The following is a 16,189-nucleotide window of genomic DNA, read 5'->3' on the forward strand; positions in this document are numbered from 1 at the left end:
TGGTCTGAAAATGCCTCCAGATGAGTCGGGAGTATTGAGGGCTCCCTTTTGTTTCCCTTCACTTGAGGATTAGAGTTCTGTATTGCACGTTGTCCATTATCTGGAAAAAAAATATTTTTTTCTAGATGTACGGTTTCTTTCTCTTGGATAGGCTAGTCTAGTAACAGTTTCTCAGTCATGGGTGGTAGTGTACATATACAGAAATAATCCTTAAATTACAATTTTGATAAATGCTATTAAGGAAAACTACAGGCTATTATAAGAGCATTCAATAGATATGTGTCTACTCCAGAGCATGGTATGAGGTTAGAGTGTGCTTTTTTGAGTAAGTATCATTAGGCAGAGATCTTGGGGCAGTTGAGAAACAGGACTCGTTGCAGGCAGACAGAAGAGTGCATAAGAAGGCGCTGTTCGTTTTTTTCCCATTCTTTTTCACCTTTGCATTCCAGTTTCTACAGACGTATCTTCAGGCTCACTGATTCTTCCCTTGGCTCTGTCTGGTCTACTGATGAGCCCACCAAAGGCATTCTTCATTTTGTTAGCATTTTTCATTTCCAGCATTTTCTTTTCTTTTTTAGAGTTTCCATTCTCTTTTTATATTACCCATCAATTATTGCATATTGTCTATGTATTCAGTTAGAGCCCTTAATATATTAATTATTGTTATTTTAACTTCGCCATCTGACAACTCCAAAATCTGTGTCATATCTGAGTCTGATTCAGATGCTTGCTTTATCTCTTCAGACTGTATTTTTTCTTGCCTTTTAGCATGTTGTGTAATTTTTTGTTGAGAGCTGAGCATGCTGTATCTGGTAATAGGAACTGAGGTAATCAGACTTTTACTGTGAGCTTTCATGTGAATCTCTAGGAGCAAGGCTGTGCTCAATGTTTGCTGTAGCTACAGGTGCCATAGGCATCAGTTCCCTCTAGTTTCCGTGTGTGTGTGTGTGTGTGTGTTTTGTTTTATTTATTGCTTTCCTATTGTCTTTGGGATCCCTAAGAATTCCTTCTTAAGTAGAGTATGTTTAAGAAGAATTGCTTCTTAAAGGGAGTCCTGCACCTCTCTTAGTTGCAATCCACTGTCATTCTTCTGGAGTCCTACTGATATAATAGTGCAGTGTTGAGGAGAGGAGGTATATAATAATCCATAATCTTACGAATAAATCTCAGGTTTTTCATGGGTTTCAGTCCCTGCGCTGTGTGATCTTCAGAGGCATTTGTTAGCTTTTTTTCCATTCCTCGGTGAGAGGGTGGAGCTGTCTAATTGCGTTTCTCCCAGGTCAGAAAAATTTCTAGTAAAGTATTGCTCTTGAGGGCAAGCCTTTGTTTCAGAGAACACCCTGGGCATATTTCAAAATGGTAACTTTCCCCAGGCATATTTCAAAATGGTTACTTTTCTCCTACCCCTGCCAGAAGCACAAAGGGATTTTTCTCTGATTTCACTGAGAACCCAGTGGGGTTCCTGGAGGTAAACCCCCATAAAACTGTGGCCCCAGTCTTACTCTCAAGCCAGTCCATGATCTGCCTCCCACAATGTGTCAGTCACCATGTAAGTGTTCCTACCAGTTACTGGCTCCAGAAGCTTCTGCTCCTGGTAAGCTGGTCTTGCCTGTGATTCTCTGTATCCACCTACTTCTCCAGTTTTCAGGGTGGCAGTGTGTCCTGTGACCTCAGCTATCTGATGGATCTAAGAGGAATCGCTGGTTTTCAGTTTGTTTACCTTTTTGCTTGTGGTGAGGATGTGAGTGATGCCTTCCAAGCTCTCTACATGTTTCTAAGCTGGAGCTGGAAGCCTCTCTCCTTAGCTGAGGGTTTGGAAGTGGTGGAAGGGTATATCTGATTAGTCTGCACTTCTTTCCATCAACTTCTCCTTGTAATTGGCTTAAAGGCTATGCTGTTAGATACAGCTGACGTCATCTAGCCTGGGCTTTTGCTGATAATGTCTGGGTAAATGTGGCAGACAGAGATCATCCCAAAGCAATGTGTGGGAGGAAGAAATGTATAAGCCATAAACTCTTCTCCAACGCCATCTTCTCATTGCAGTGTCTGGCTGCTCCAGACCTGAGTTTTGTAAAAAAAACAAAACAAAAAGACACAACACACACACACACACACACACCCCAAAATATTTTGCCACAGGCCAACTTGCACCAGTTCAAATCGGCTTTCTCAGGCATTCTCATAGTATTTATATTGATTCATCATATCAATAATCCCACCTCATTTTGGGAGGTTCTCCAGAGTTAATGTGGGGAGAGAGAAACTCATGCTATTTCACCATCTTGTATGGAAACCAATAGGTTTAAAATTAAACCTTCCTTGATTTCTGGGAATCTAACTTAGTGTGGCACTTCACCTTTTTATCCACAAATGGATATAGTCTACTGATATTGGGGTTAGGAATTTTGCATCCATGCCATTTTTTTTGTGTTTTCCTTCTGGTCCTTATCTAATTTTGCCATTAGAGTCATGACATCATGGAATAAATTGAGAAGTGCTTCCTTTCCCCACTATTAACTAGAAGAGTTTATATAACAGAATTATCTACTTCATGAATGGTAGCATTTGTCTACTAACATTCTAAGCCTGGTATTTTCTTTGTGGAAATATTTTAAATTTCAAATTTGATTCTTCTTTTTATGACTATAATTCTATCAGATTTTCTAGTTCTTCTTGTGTAAATTTTATTTTTCTAAGAATTTTTTCATCTTATTTCCATTTTTTGGCATGAACTTGTTTATATTATTTTTTTCATTAACCTTCTAACTTCTACTCCATGAATTTGTTTATATTATTTTTTCATTAACCTTCTGATTTCTACTCTTTCAATAGTTAAATTCTGTTCCTTCTTTCTTTCTTTCTTTTTTTTTTTTGAGACGGAGTCTCGCTCTGTCGCCCAGGCTGGAGTGCAGTGGTGCGATCTCTGCTCACTGCAAGCTCCGCCTCCCAGGTTCACGCCATTCTCCTGCCTCAGCCTCCCAAGTAGCTGGGACTACAGGCGCCCGCCACTACGCCCGGCTAATTTTTTGTATTTTTAGTAGAGACGGAGTTTCACCGTGTTAGCCAGGATGGTCTCGATCTCCTGACCTTGTGATCCGCTCGCCTCAGCCTCCCAAAGTGCTGGGATTACAGGCGTGAGCCACCGCGCCTGGCCAGTTCTGTTCCTTATTTCCAAAGTTTTTGTGTATGCATCTGTCTTTTATTCTTCATCAACATTACCAGAAGTTTGTAAATACTAAGTCAACTTTTGGCTTTGTTAATCCTTTATAAGTTTTTTTTATAATTAAATTCCATGCTTAATAAACTTGGCTTTTTATTTCCTTCTAATTTCTTTGGTTTTGTTCTATTATATAGCTCATTAATTAATTTTCAAACCTTTTTTCTAATTTTTGTATCAAGATTATAAGTACTTCCAAGCACTTTCCTGAGTAAATTTCATACTATTTTATTTTTCAGTCAGCTTTCTCAGATTGAATCACAAGTTTTGCTCTATGATATTCGGTTAGGAGTATTTTCTGTTTTGTTTTGGTCACATTAAAAAGTTTAGTGATATGCTTAGTTTGTTCAGGTTGTGCATATAGCATTTAATATGAGGAATATAATTTCATAAATTTTATTTCATTACAATTACAAACAGATAAAGAATTATGAAATAACATTTCCCTAAGTTAATTTACCTGTGAACACACTTTCAGTGATCAATGTGATATATCTGTAAGTCTTTAATTTTTCCTATGTTTTACTTGCTTTGCTTATATTTGTTGAAATATCATTTTATACCTGCATATAACAAAAGTTTGGGAAAAATCGGGCATGCTTTTTGTTTTCGATTTCATTTTTCTTTAATAATACACTTATTTATTCTTATTTCACAATTTTTAATTGGTATGTAATAACTATACATATTTTGGGGCTACATGTGGTATTTTGATACCTATATATAATGTGCAATGATCAAATCAGGGAAATTAGGACATCCATCACCTCAAACACTTACCTTTTCTTTGTGTTGGAAATATCACAATTCTTCTCTTCCTATTTTGAAATGTACAACACGTTACTGTTAACAATAATTTTCCTGCTGTACCATTTGAATACTAGAATTTATTCCATCTATTTAACTGTATTTTTATGCCCTTAACCAGCTTCTCTTCATCTTCTCCTACCCACTTCCCTTCCCAGCATCTGGTAACCACCATTCTAATCTATACTTCCATGAGATCCACTTTTTTAGTTCCCACATATGAGTGAGAATGTGATACTTGTCTTTCTGTGCCTGGCTTATTTTACTTAACATAGTGACCTCCAGTTCCATACATATTGATGGAAATGATAAAATTTTGTTTTTTATGGCTGAATAATATCCCATTGTGTATATGTACCATACTTTCTTTACCTGTTCATCCATTAGATTAGGTTGATTCCGTATCTTGGCTATTATGAATAGTGTTGCAATAAACATGGGCATGCTGATATCTCTTCCCTATAGAGATTTCCTTTCTTTTGGATACATATCAGCAGTGGGATTGCTGGAGCATATGGTAGTTCCATTTTTAGTTTTTTTGAGGAACCTCCATACCGTTTTCCATAATGGCTGTACTACTTTACATTCCTACCAACAGTATACGAGCATTCCCCTCTTTCTGCATCTTCACTAGAACTTTTTTTTCTGTCTTCTTGATAGCATTCTAACTGGAATGAGATGATATCTCACGTGCTTTTGGTTTGCATTTCCCTGATGATTAGTGATGTTGAACATTTTTTCATATACCTGTTGGCCATTTGTATGTCTTTTGAGAAATTTCTATTCAGGTCTTTCGTCCATTTTTAAAATTTAATTTAATTTAATTTGTCCCTCATCTTCTTTGTGATGGCATTTTTCCATCATTAAGTCAGATTGTTTCTTTTTTTGAGTTGTTTGTATTTTTTATTATTCTTGTTATTAATCCTTTGTCTGATGGAGAGTTTGCAAATATTTTCTCCCATTCTGTAGGTCTCTTCACTTTATTAATTATTTCCTTTGCTGTGCAGAAGTTTTTTAGATTGATGTAATTCCATTTTTGTTTTGCTTGCCTATGTATTTTTTATTTTTTATTTTTTTTTTGAGACAGAGTCTCACTCTGTCGCCCAGGCTGGAGTGCAGTGGTGCAATCTCGGCTCACTGCCACCTCTCCCTCCCAGGTTTAAGCAACTCTCCTTCCTCAACCTCCCAAGTAGCTGGGATTACAGGCACCCACCACAACATCCGGCTAATTTTTGTATTTTTAGTAGAGACAGGATATCACCATGTTGGCCAGGCCAGTCTCGAACTCCTGACTTCAAGAGATCCACCCACCTTGGCCTCCCAAAGTGCTGGGATTCTAGGCATGAGCCACAATGCTCAGCCAGTTGCCTATGATGTTGAAGTCTTACCCAAAAAATCTTTGCCCAGACCAATGTCCTATAATGCTTTCTCAGTGTTTTATTTTAGTTGTTTCATAGTTTTAGGTCTTATGTTTAAATCTTTAATCCATTTTGAGTTGATTTTTATATATGGTGAAATATGAGGATCTAGTTTTATTCTTCTATGTGTGGATATCCAGTTTTCCCAGCACCATCTATTAAAGAGACTGTCCTTTCCACAATGTGTGTTCTTGGCTTCTTAACTGAAAAGCAGTTGGCTGTAGATGTGTGGATTTATTTCTGGGTTCTCTATTCTGTTCCACTGGTCTATGTATCTGTTTTTATGTCAGTACCATGCCAGTACCATGCTGTTTTGTTTACTATTGCTTTGTAGTATAATTTGAAATCAACTAGTGTGATGCCTCCAGCTTTGTTCTTCTTGCTCAGGATTGTCTTAGCTATTCAGGGTCTTTTGTGGTTCCATATAAATTTTAGAATTGCTTTTTTTGTTTCTGTGGAGAATGTACTTGGTATTTTGATAGGGACTATATCTGTGGTTGCTTTGAGTAGTATAGACATTTTAACAATGTTAATTCTTCCAATCTATGAGCATGAAATATCTTTCCATTTTTTCGTGTCCTCTTTGGTTTCTTTCATCAGTGTTTTATAGTTTTTCTTGTAGAGATCTGTCACTTGTTTGGTTAAATTTATTCCTAGGTATTTTATTTTTTGTAGCCATTGTAAGTGGGATTGCTTTCTTGATTTTTTTTTCAGATTGCTGTAGCATATATAAACACTACTGATGTTTGTATGTTAATTTTGTACCCTGCAACTTTACTGAGTTCTTACATAAGTTCTAAGAGTTTTTTGGTGGAGTCTTCAAGTTTTTAAAAATATAAAATCACGTCATCTGCAAACAAGGGTAATTTGACTCCTTCCTTTCTAATTTGGATGCCCTGTATTTCTTTCTCTTGCCTAATTCCTCTGGCTATAATTTCCAGTACTATATTGAATAAAAATGGTGAAAGTGGGCATCCTTGTCTTATTCCATATCTTAGTGGAAAGGATTTCAGTTTTTCCCCTGTGTGGCTTACAGAAAACATCTTATAGATATAACAAGTTATTTTAAATAGATACCAACTTATCTCTGATCATACAAAAAGGAAAGAAACAAAGAAAAAACCTGTACACATTAACTCTCTTCCCCCATTTTGAATTTTTGATGTCACAATTTGCATTTTATATTGCCTATCTCTTAACAAATTGTAGTTATTTTAAATAGTTTTGTCTTTTAGTCTTCTTAGTAAATATATAAGTAGTTTACATATCATGATTATTACATTAGTATAACAATCATGTTAATGTCCTTTTCTTTTGGTTTGAAGAATCCCTTTAGCATTTTTTTATAGGTCCAATCTAGTAGCAATCAATTGCCCCAGCTTTTGTTTGTCTGGGAAAGTCTTTATTGCTCCTTCATTTCTGAAAGATAGCTTTTCTGGGTATAGAATTCTTGCTTGGCAGATTTTTTTCCCCCTTCAGACTGGAAATATATCTTCCTACTCCATCCTGGCCTGTAAAGTTTCTACTGCGAAGTCTTCTGCTAGGAATATTTGATCTCTCTTACATGTTATTTGCTTCTTTTCTCTAGCTACTTTTAGAATCCCCTCTCTATGTTGGACCTTTGAGAGTTTATATGTCTTGGAGAATTCTTATTTGGGTTGAATCTGATTGCTAACCTTTGGTCTTCCTGTACCTGGATATTTGTATCTTTCTCCAAGTTTGGAAAGTTTTCTATTATTATTTCTTTAAATAAGCTTTCTACCTATATTTCTTCCTCAGTTCCCTCTTTAAGTCCAATAATCTGAATATTTGCTGGTTTGATGTTGTCTTATAGATCCCCTAAGCTTTCTTTATTCCTTTTCATTATGTTTTCTTTCTCTCTTCCATGTATTTTCAAATAGTCTGTCTTTGAGCTCACTGATTCTTTCCTATGTTTGATCAGTTCTGCTGTTGATGTTCTCTATTGAAATTTTCATAGTATTTTTCAACTCCAGGATTTCACTATTTTTTTCTTTTTTGAGATGGAGTCTTGCTCTGTTGCCCAGGCTGGAATCCAATGGCATGATCTTGGTTCATTGCAACCTGCACCTCCTGAGTTGAAGCGATTCTCCTGCCTCTGCCGCCTGAGTAGCTGGGATTATAGGTGTGCGCCACCATGCCTGGCTAATATTCATGTATTTAGTAGAGACAGAGTTTCACCATGTTATCCACGTTGGTCTTGAACTCCTGACCGCAAGTGATCCACCAGCCTTGGCCTCCCAAAGTGCTGGGATTTCAGGCATGAGCCACTGTGCCTGGCTGATTTCACATTTAAAAAAATTTTTGTTTTAATCTTTCTGTTAAATTTGCTGGTACATTTCTGAATTAATCCTATGTGTTTTCCTAAAGTTTGTTGAGCTATTTAGAACAGCTATTTGGAATTCTTTTTTTTTTTTTTTTTTTTGAGACAAGAGTCTCACCTCTGTCACCCAGGCTGGAGTGCATGGAGTATAGTGGGGCTATCTCGGCTCACTGCAGCCCCCGCCTCCTGGGTTCAAGTGATTCTTCTGCCTCAGCCTCCCGAGTAGCTGGGACTACAGACGTGCACCACCACACCCGGCCAATTTTTGTATTTTTAGTAGAGATGGGGTTTCACCATGTTGGCTAGGATGGTCTCGATCTCCTGACCTCGTGATCTGCCCACCTCGGCCTCCCAAAGTACTGGGGTTACAGGTGTGAGCCACTGCGCCCAGCCTGGAATTCTTCATCTGAGACATTAAACATCTCCGTCACTTTGGTCTGCCTCTGGCACCTTGTTTTCTCTGTTTGGTTAGGTCATATTTCCTTGAATGTTTTTGAGCTTGTGGATGTGCAACAATGTCTGTGCATTTAGGGACTGAAGATTTATTTTAGTCTTCACAGTCTGGCCTCATTTGTGCCTGCCTTTCTTCAGAGGGCCTTCCAGGGATTCTAAGCCCACTATTGAGTTCCCTGAGCCTGTGACCACTGTACCCATCTCAGCACTGGAAGATGCTCTATGCCCAGGCTTGCTGTGAGTCTCATGAGGACTTTGAGGTTTTGAGTCCCAGATGGACCTGGGGAAGACCCAAGGAATGGATATACTGGGGCTGTGTGGGAATGCTAGCCAGGGACCTGGGTCTAGAAGACTGTACTGTAGGCTCAGATGGGTGTGCCTCCTCGCAGATCTGAGTCTAGAAGACTGTACCGTAGGCTCAGATGGGTGTGACTCCTAGCAGGTCTTTGCATAGGTGGAATGGGTTCCTTACTGCAGCAAGAGGAGCTGGAGTTGAGACTGGGTCCCCTTGGAATCTGCTGTGGGACAAAGGCTGGAGAGCCCATTATGTTGGCCCAGATAGGTGAGCATCTCCCAGCAGATCTTGGAACAGATGAGATAGTTCTCTGATTGCAGTGGGAGGGGCTGGAGCTGAGACTGGTTCCCCTCAGGATCTGTTGTGGGATAAGATTGGCAAGCCTGTCAGGGAGGCTCAGACTCCTGGGATTGAGGTATGAGTGAGTCTCCCTCTGGGTTCTTGTGTGAGCAACTCTGAGCTAGGACCTACATGGGAGTGATGGGGACTGGAGCTGAGCCACAAGGCAACTTTGAGGTTTACTTCTAAGATGGAGGTGACGAGGCAGATGCCTTTCCACCAAGGCACTAGGGTACACAATTCCTTCTGGATCCTTTAACAGATGGTTTTGGTTGCAGGTTCAAAGTCAAACAGTACGGTAGCCAAAGCCCCTTGGGGGACTGGGCCATTTCTGGGCTTGAACCCAGGAACAAGATTGGTGGATCAGCCAACTGGTGTTAGTCTGCACTCTCAAAATAATCCTCCAAGATCTTGGGCTCCACCAATATTTCACAAACTCCTATCTGAATCCTGAGGCAGAGAGACTTTTGATTCTGGATAGGCGCAGAATTCTTGTTGTTGTGGGGAGATGTGAGCAGGTTACCTTCTATTCTGCCATCTTGGTGACCAGAATTTTCTAATTTTCAATGTTTTTTTGACCTGTGATTTATTTAGAGGTATGATTTTTAAATTTCAAAAATATATTTTAGCTAAATTTTAAAATATTGATTTCTAATTTAATTTTGTAGTTAAGTTACATTAAGTAAAAAATCATTTCAATTTATTATTATTCTTTAATTGTCCAATATGTTGTCAGTTGTCATAAATATTTTGTATGTGTTTGAAAAGAATGTGAGTTGTTCAATTGTTGGAGGCTCAGAGATATATGTGTTTTCCTTAGATCAAGCTTGTTTGTTGTATTATTCAAATTATATATTATTATTTTTTCTGCTGAGCTATCAATTACTGAGAGACATGTTAAACTTTTTCCCTAGGATGGAGGCTTTGTCAATTTCTCCTTGAGGTTATGACAACTTTTGATATATTAACCAGGTTAATTGAACTTTGATATCTTTATAATATTTATTTCATGACCCTTGTCTATCCAGTAATTTTTTTTTGCCTGAAAATCAAAAGCCCTGTATATACAGAATTATGGTGATATATATTAGAAACACTGTAGTTTAAATTGCTTTAGAAATAAGGAAGAAACTGCCACATTTGGGAACTTTGCTAGGAATTTAAATGCCTATTCTCTTTCACCACTAAAACTTTGTGTTACGGGTTTGTCACACATTATTGGAAATGGCACTTAGTCTAATTCCAATTGTTAGAAATAGACAATTTTATATTAAAAGTTGAAATATAGGTTCCAGAAATTTCTGATTTGATAATTTAGGCCAAATATCCTGCTGAAAACAGCTAAAAAGGCAAACGGCTGAGCAAGAAAAAAAAAATGGCTGAAAGGTGAGGAGGGGATTGGAATTCAGAGAGGCGAGCCATAGCCACTAGAAAACTTAAACAATCATATGAACCAACTTGACCTAACTGACACCCCCAGAGCACTTTAGCCAACAACAGCAGACTACGCATTATTTTCAACACATACAAACCACATACCAGACCATTTACAAAGTCTCAATACATTTAAAAGGATTGAAATAACACAAAGTATGTTTTTCTGGCCACAATGATAGTAAATCAAACACAGGAATAAAACGGGCCCAGGCACAGTGGCTCACGCCTGTAATCCCAGCACTTTGGGAGGCTGAGGCAGGTGACTTACTTGAGGTCAGGCATTCGAGACCAGCCTGGCCAACATGGTGAAACGCCATCTCTAAAAATATAAAAATTAGCTGGGTGTGGTGGCACACACCTGCAATCCCAGCTACTTGGGAGGCTAAGGCAGGAGAATCGCTTGAACTTGGGAGGCAGACGTTGCAATGAGTCGAGATTGCACCACTGCACTCCAACCTGGGCAACAGAGTGAGACTCTGTCAAAAAAATAAATAAATAAATAAAATTGGGACATACCCAAGTATTTTGAAAATTAAAAACAATTTTTAATCCACGAGTAGAAGAGCAAACTAACCCAAAGCAAGAAGAAGAATATATTAAGGATTCAAATGAAAATCAGTGCAGTAGAAAATAGAAAAACAGGAGAGAAAAATCAGTGAAACAAAAAGTTGCTTCTTTGAAAAGACCAGCAAGATTGAAAAACCTTTAGCTAACGTAAGAAAAAAGGTAAAGGCCGGGCGCGGTGGCTCACGCCTGTAATCCCAGCACTTTGGGAGGCCGAGGCGGGTGGATCACGAGGTCAGGAGATCGAGACCATCCTGGCTAACAAGGTGAAACCCCGTCTCTACTAAAAATACAAAAAATTAGCCGGGCGCGGTGGCAGGCGCCTGTAGTCCCAGCTACTCGGGAGGCTGAGGCAGGAGAATGGCGTGAACCCGGGAAGCAGAGCTTGCAGTGAGCCGAGATTGCGCCACTGCAGTCCGCAGTCCGGCCTGGGCGACAGAGCGAGACTCCATCTCAAAAAAAAAAAAAAAAGAAAAAAGGTAAAAAAACACAAATGCATAAATAACGAGTGAATATGGGGATGTCATTACTGACCCTACAACAGTTGAAAGGATTATAAGGGAATACCAGGAATAATTGTATGGCAACAAATCAGATAACTCAAATGAAACAGAAATTTCTAGAAAGACACAAACTACCAAAAGTGATTCAAGAAGAAGAAATATAAAATCTTAATAGACTTATAATAAGCAAAAAAAAACCCACAAAAAACTGAATTCATAATATAAAATCTGGCCACAAAGAAAAGCCTGGGCCAGAGGTGTTCACTGGTGGTCTATCAAACATTTAAGACAGAGGTAATATCAATTCTTCACAAACTCTTCCAGTAGAAGGAATAGGAAGAACCACTTCCCAATTTATTCTATGAGGCCAGTATTACCCTGAAACCAAAGCCAAAGACATCATGAGAAAACTACAGAATAGAGGTACAAATGCCCTTAACAAAAGATTAGCGAAACAACTTCAGGAACAGAGAAAAAGAATTATATACCATGACCAAGTGGGATGTATCTGTGGAATGCAAGGTTGATTTAACATTTGAAAATCAATTAATATAATAGACAATATTAATAGGAGAAAGGACAAAATTTATGTGATTATCTCATTAGATACAAAAAAGATATTCAATAAAATCCAATACCCATTCATGATAAAAAAAAAACTCTCAATAAATTAGGAATAGAAGGCACCTTCCTCAGTCTAATAAAGTGCATCTCTAAGAAGCTTACAGCTAACATCATACTTAATGGTGAAATACTGCATGCTTTTCCTATACGATGAGGAATAAGGCAAGCATGTTTGCTCTTGCCATTTCTAGTCAGCATTGTAGGGAAGTTCTAGCCAGTCCAATAATAAAAAAGAAGGCAGTCCAGACTGAAAAAAGATAAATAAAACTGTATTTATTCACAAATATGAAGAAAATACCAGGACGGGCACAGTGGTTCACGCCAGTGGAACCAGCACTTTGGGAGGACCAGGTAGAAGGATCGCTTGAGTCCAGGAGTTTGAGACCAACCTGGGCAACATAGCAAAACCCTGTGTCTACAAAAACAAAACAAAACCAAAATAGCCAGGCATGGTGGCATGCACCTGTAGTCCCAGCTACTTTGGAGGCTGGGGAGGGAGGATTGCTTGTGTCCAGGAGGTCGAGGCTGCAGTGAGCTGTGATTATGCCACTGCATTTCAGCCTAGGCAACAGAGTGAGACCCTGTCTCAAAAAGAAAAGAAAAGAAAATACTGAGGAATCCATAGAAAAAAAAAACCCAGCTACTAGAACTAATAAACATGTTGAGAACATTTGAGGACCCAGGATTAAGACACAAAAAGCAACTGTACTTCACTATACTAGCAATGAACAACATGAAAATGAAATTAATAAAACTAGTCCATCAAAGAGAATAAAATGCTTAGGAATAAACTTAACAAAAATGTGTAAGACATGTACGTTGAAAACTACAAAACACTGCCTGAGAGATATTAAAGAAAATCTAAATAAATCGAAAGACATTTCATGTTCATAGACTGAAAGACACAATATTGTTAGGTATCAGTTGTTCCCTGACTGATCTAATAAATTCAATGTGACTTTTTCACATGCCAGTAGGCCTTCTTGCAGAATTGACAAGATGACTTAAATACTTACATGGAAGTGCAAAAGACTCCGAAGAGGCAAAACAATTTTGAAAAATAACGAAGTTAAAGGACTTCATACTCCCTGATTTCAAAGCTTACTAAAAGTTATAGTAATCAAGACAGTTGTGACACTAATGCAAGGAAAGATGTAGGTCAATGGAGCAGAATTGATAAAAAAAATTCTTCATTTGTGATCACTTGATTTTTATCAACATACCAAGGAAATTTTGTAGGGAAAAGACAGCCTTTTCAACAAATGATGTTTGTTTTCAAGAAATTATGCGGAGGAGCCAAGATGGCCGAATAGGAACAGCTCCGGTCTACAGCTCCCAGCGTGGGTGACGCAGAAGAAGGGTGATTTCTGCATTTCCATCTGAGGTACGGGTTCATCTCACTAGGGAGTGCCAGACAGTGGGCGCAGGTCAGTGGGTGCGCGCACCGTGCGCCAGTCAAAGCAGGGCGAGGCATTGCCTGACTCGGGAAGCGCAAGGGGTCAGGGAGTTCCCTTTCCTAGTCAAAGAAAGGGGTGACAGACGGCACCTGGAAAATCGGGTCACTCCCACCCGAATACTGCGCTTTTCCGACGGGCTGAAAAAATGGCGCACCAGAAGATTATATCCCGCACCTGGCTCGGAGGGTCCTACGCCCACGGAGTCTCACTGATTGCTAGCACAGCAGTCTGAGATCAAACTGCAAGCGGCAGCGAGGCTGGGGGAGGGGCGCCCGCCATTGCCCAGGCTTGCTTAAGTAAACAAAGCAGCCCGGAAGCTCGAACTGGGTGGAGCCCACCACAGCTCAAGGAGGCCTGCCTGCCTCTGTAGGCTCCACCTCTGGGGGCAGGGCACAGACAAACAAAAAGACAGCAGTAACCTCTGCAGACTTAAATGTCCCTGTCTGACAGCTTTGAAGAGAGCAGTGGTTCTCCCAGCACACAGCTGGAGATCTGAGAATGGGCAGACTGCCTCCTCCAGTGGGTCCCTGACCCCTGACCCCCGAGCAGCCTAACTGGGAGGCACCCCCCAGCAGGGGCAGACTAACACCTCACACGGCCGGGTACTCCAACAGACCTGCAGCTGAGGGTCCTGTCTGTTAGAAGGAAAACTAACAAACAGAAAGGACATCCACACCAAAAACCCATCTGTACAACACCATCATCAAAGACCAAAAGTAAATAAAACCACAAAGATGGGGAAAAAACAGAACAGAAAAACTGGAAACTCTAAAAAGCAGAGCGCCTCTCCTCCTCCAAAGGAATGCAGTTCCTCACCAGCAACGGAACAAAGCTGGACGGAGAATGACTTTGACGAGCTGAGAGAAGAAGGCTTCAGACGATCAAATTACTCCGAGCTATAGGAGGACATTCAAACCAAAGGCAAAGAAGTTGAAAACTTTGAAAAAAATTTAGAAGAATGTATAACTAGAATAACCAATACAGAGAAGTGCTTAAAGGAGCTGATGGAGCTGAAAACCAAGGCTCGAGAACTATGTGAAGAATGCAGAAGCCTCAGGAGCCGATGCGATCAACTGGAAGAAAGGGTATCAGCGATGGAAGATGAAATGAATGAAATGAAGCGAGAAGGGAAGTTTAGAGAAAAAAGAATAAAAAGAAACGAGCAAAGCCTCCAAGAAATATGGGACTATGTGAAAAGACCAAATCTACGTCTGATTGGTGTACCTGAAAGTGAAGGGGAGAATGGAACCAAGTTGGAAAACACTCTGCAGGATATTATCCAGGACAACTTCCCCAATCTAGTAAGGCAGGCCAACATTCAGATTCAGGAAATACAGAGAACGCCACAAAGATACTCCTCGAGAAGAGCAACTCCAAGACACATAATTGTCAGATTCACCAAAGTTGAAATGAAGGAAAAAATGTTCAGGGCAGCCAGAGAGAAAGGTCGGGTTACCCTCAAAGGGAAGCCCATCAGACTAACAGCGGATCTCTCAGCAGAAACTCTACAAGCCAGAAGAGAGTGGGGGGTCAATATTCAACATTCTTAAAGAAAAGAATTTTCAACCCAGAATTTCATATCCAGCCAAACTGAGCTTCATAAGTGAAGGAGAAATAAAATACTTTACAGACAAGCAAATGCTGAGAGATTTTGTCACCACCAGACCTGCCCTAAAAGAGCTCCTGAAGGAAGCGCTAAACATGGAAAGGAACAACCGGTACCAGCCGCTGAAAAATCATGCCAAAATGTAAAGACCATCGAGACTAAGGAGAAACTGCATCAACTAACGAGCAAAATAACCAGCTAACATCATAATGACAGGATCAAATTCACACATAACAATATTAACTTTAAATGTAAATGGACTAAATGCTCCAATTAAAAGACACAGACTGGCAAATTGGATAAAGAGTCAAGACCCATCAGTGTGCTGTATTCAGGAAACCCATCTCACGTGCAGAGACACACATAGGCTTAAAATAAAAGGATGGAGGAAGATCTACCAAGCAAATGGAAAACAAAAAAAGGCAGGGATTGCAATCCTAGTCTCTGATAAAACAGACTTTAAACCAACAAAGATCAAAAGAGACAAAGAAGGCCATTACATAATGGTAAAGGGATCAATTCAACAAGAAGAGCTAACTCTCCTAAATATATATGCACCTAATACAGGAGCACCCAGATTCATAAAACAAGTCCTGAGTGACCTACAAAGAGACTTAGACTCCCACACATTAATAATGGGAGACTTTAACACCCCACTGTCAACATTAGACAGATCAACGAGACAGAAAGTCAACAAGGATACCCAGGAATTGAATTCAGCTCTGCACCAAGACCTAATAGACATCTACAGAACTCTCCACCCCAAATCAACAGAATATACATTTTTTTCAGCACCACACCACACCTATTCCAAAATTGACCACATACTTGGAAGTAAAGCTCTCCTCAGCAAATGTAAAAGAACAGAAATTATGACAAACTATCTCTCAGACCACAGTGCCATCAAACTAGAACTCAGGATTAAGAATCTCACTCAAAACCGCTCAACTACATGGAAACTGAACAACCTGCTCCTGAATGACTACTGGGTACATAAAGAAATGAAGGCAGAAATAAAGATGTTCTTTGAAACCAACAAGAACAAAGACACAACATACCAGAATCTCTGGGACGCATTCAAAGCAGTGTGTAGAGGGAAATTTATAGCACTAAATGCCCACAAGAGAA

This window comes from Homo sapiens, chromosome 5 (assembly GCF_000001405.40).
Source record: "Homo sapiens chromosome 5, GRCh38.p14 Primary Assembly".
NCBI lineage: Eukaryota > Metazoa > Chordata > Mammalia > Primates > Hominidae > Homo > Homo sapiens.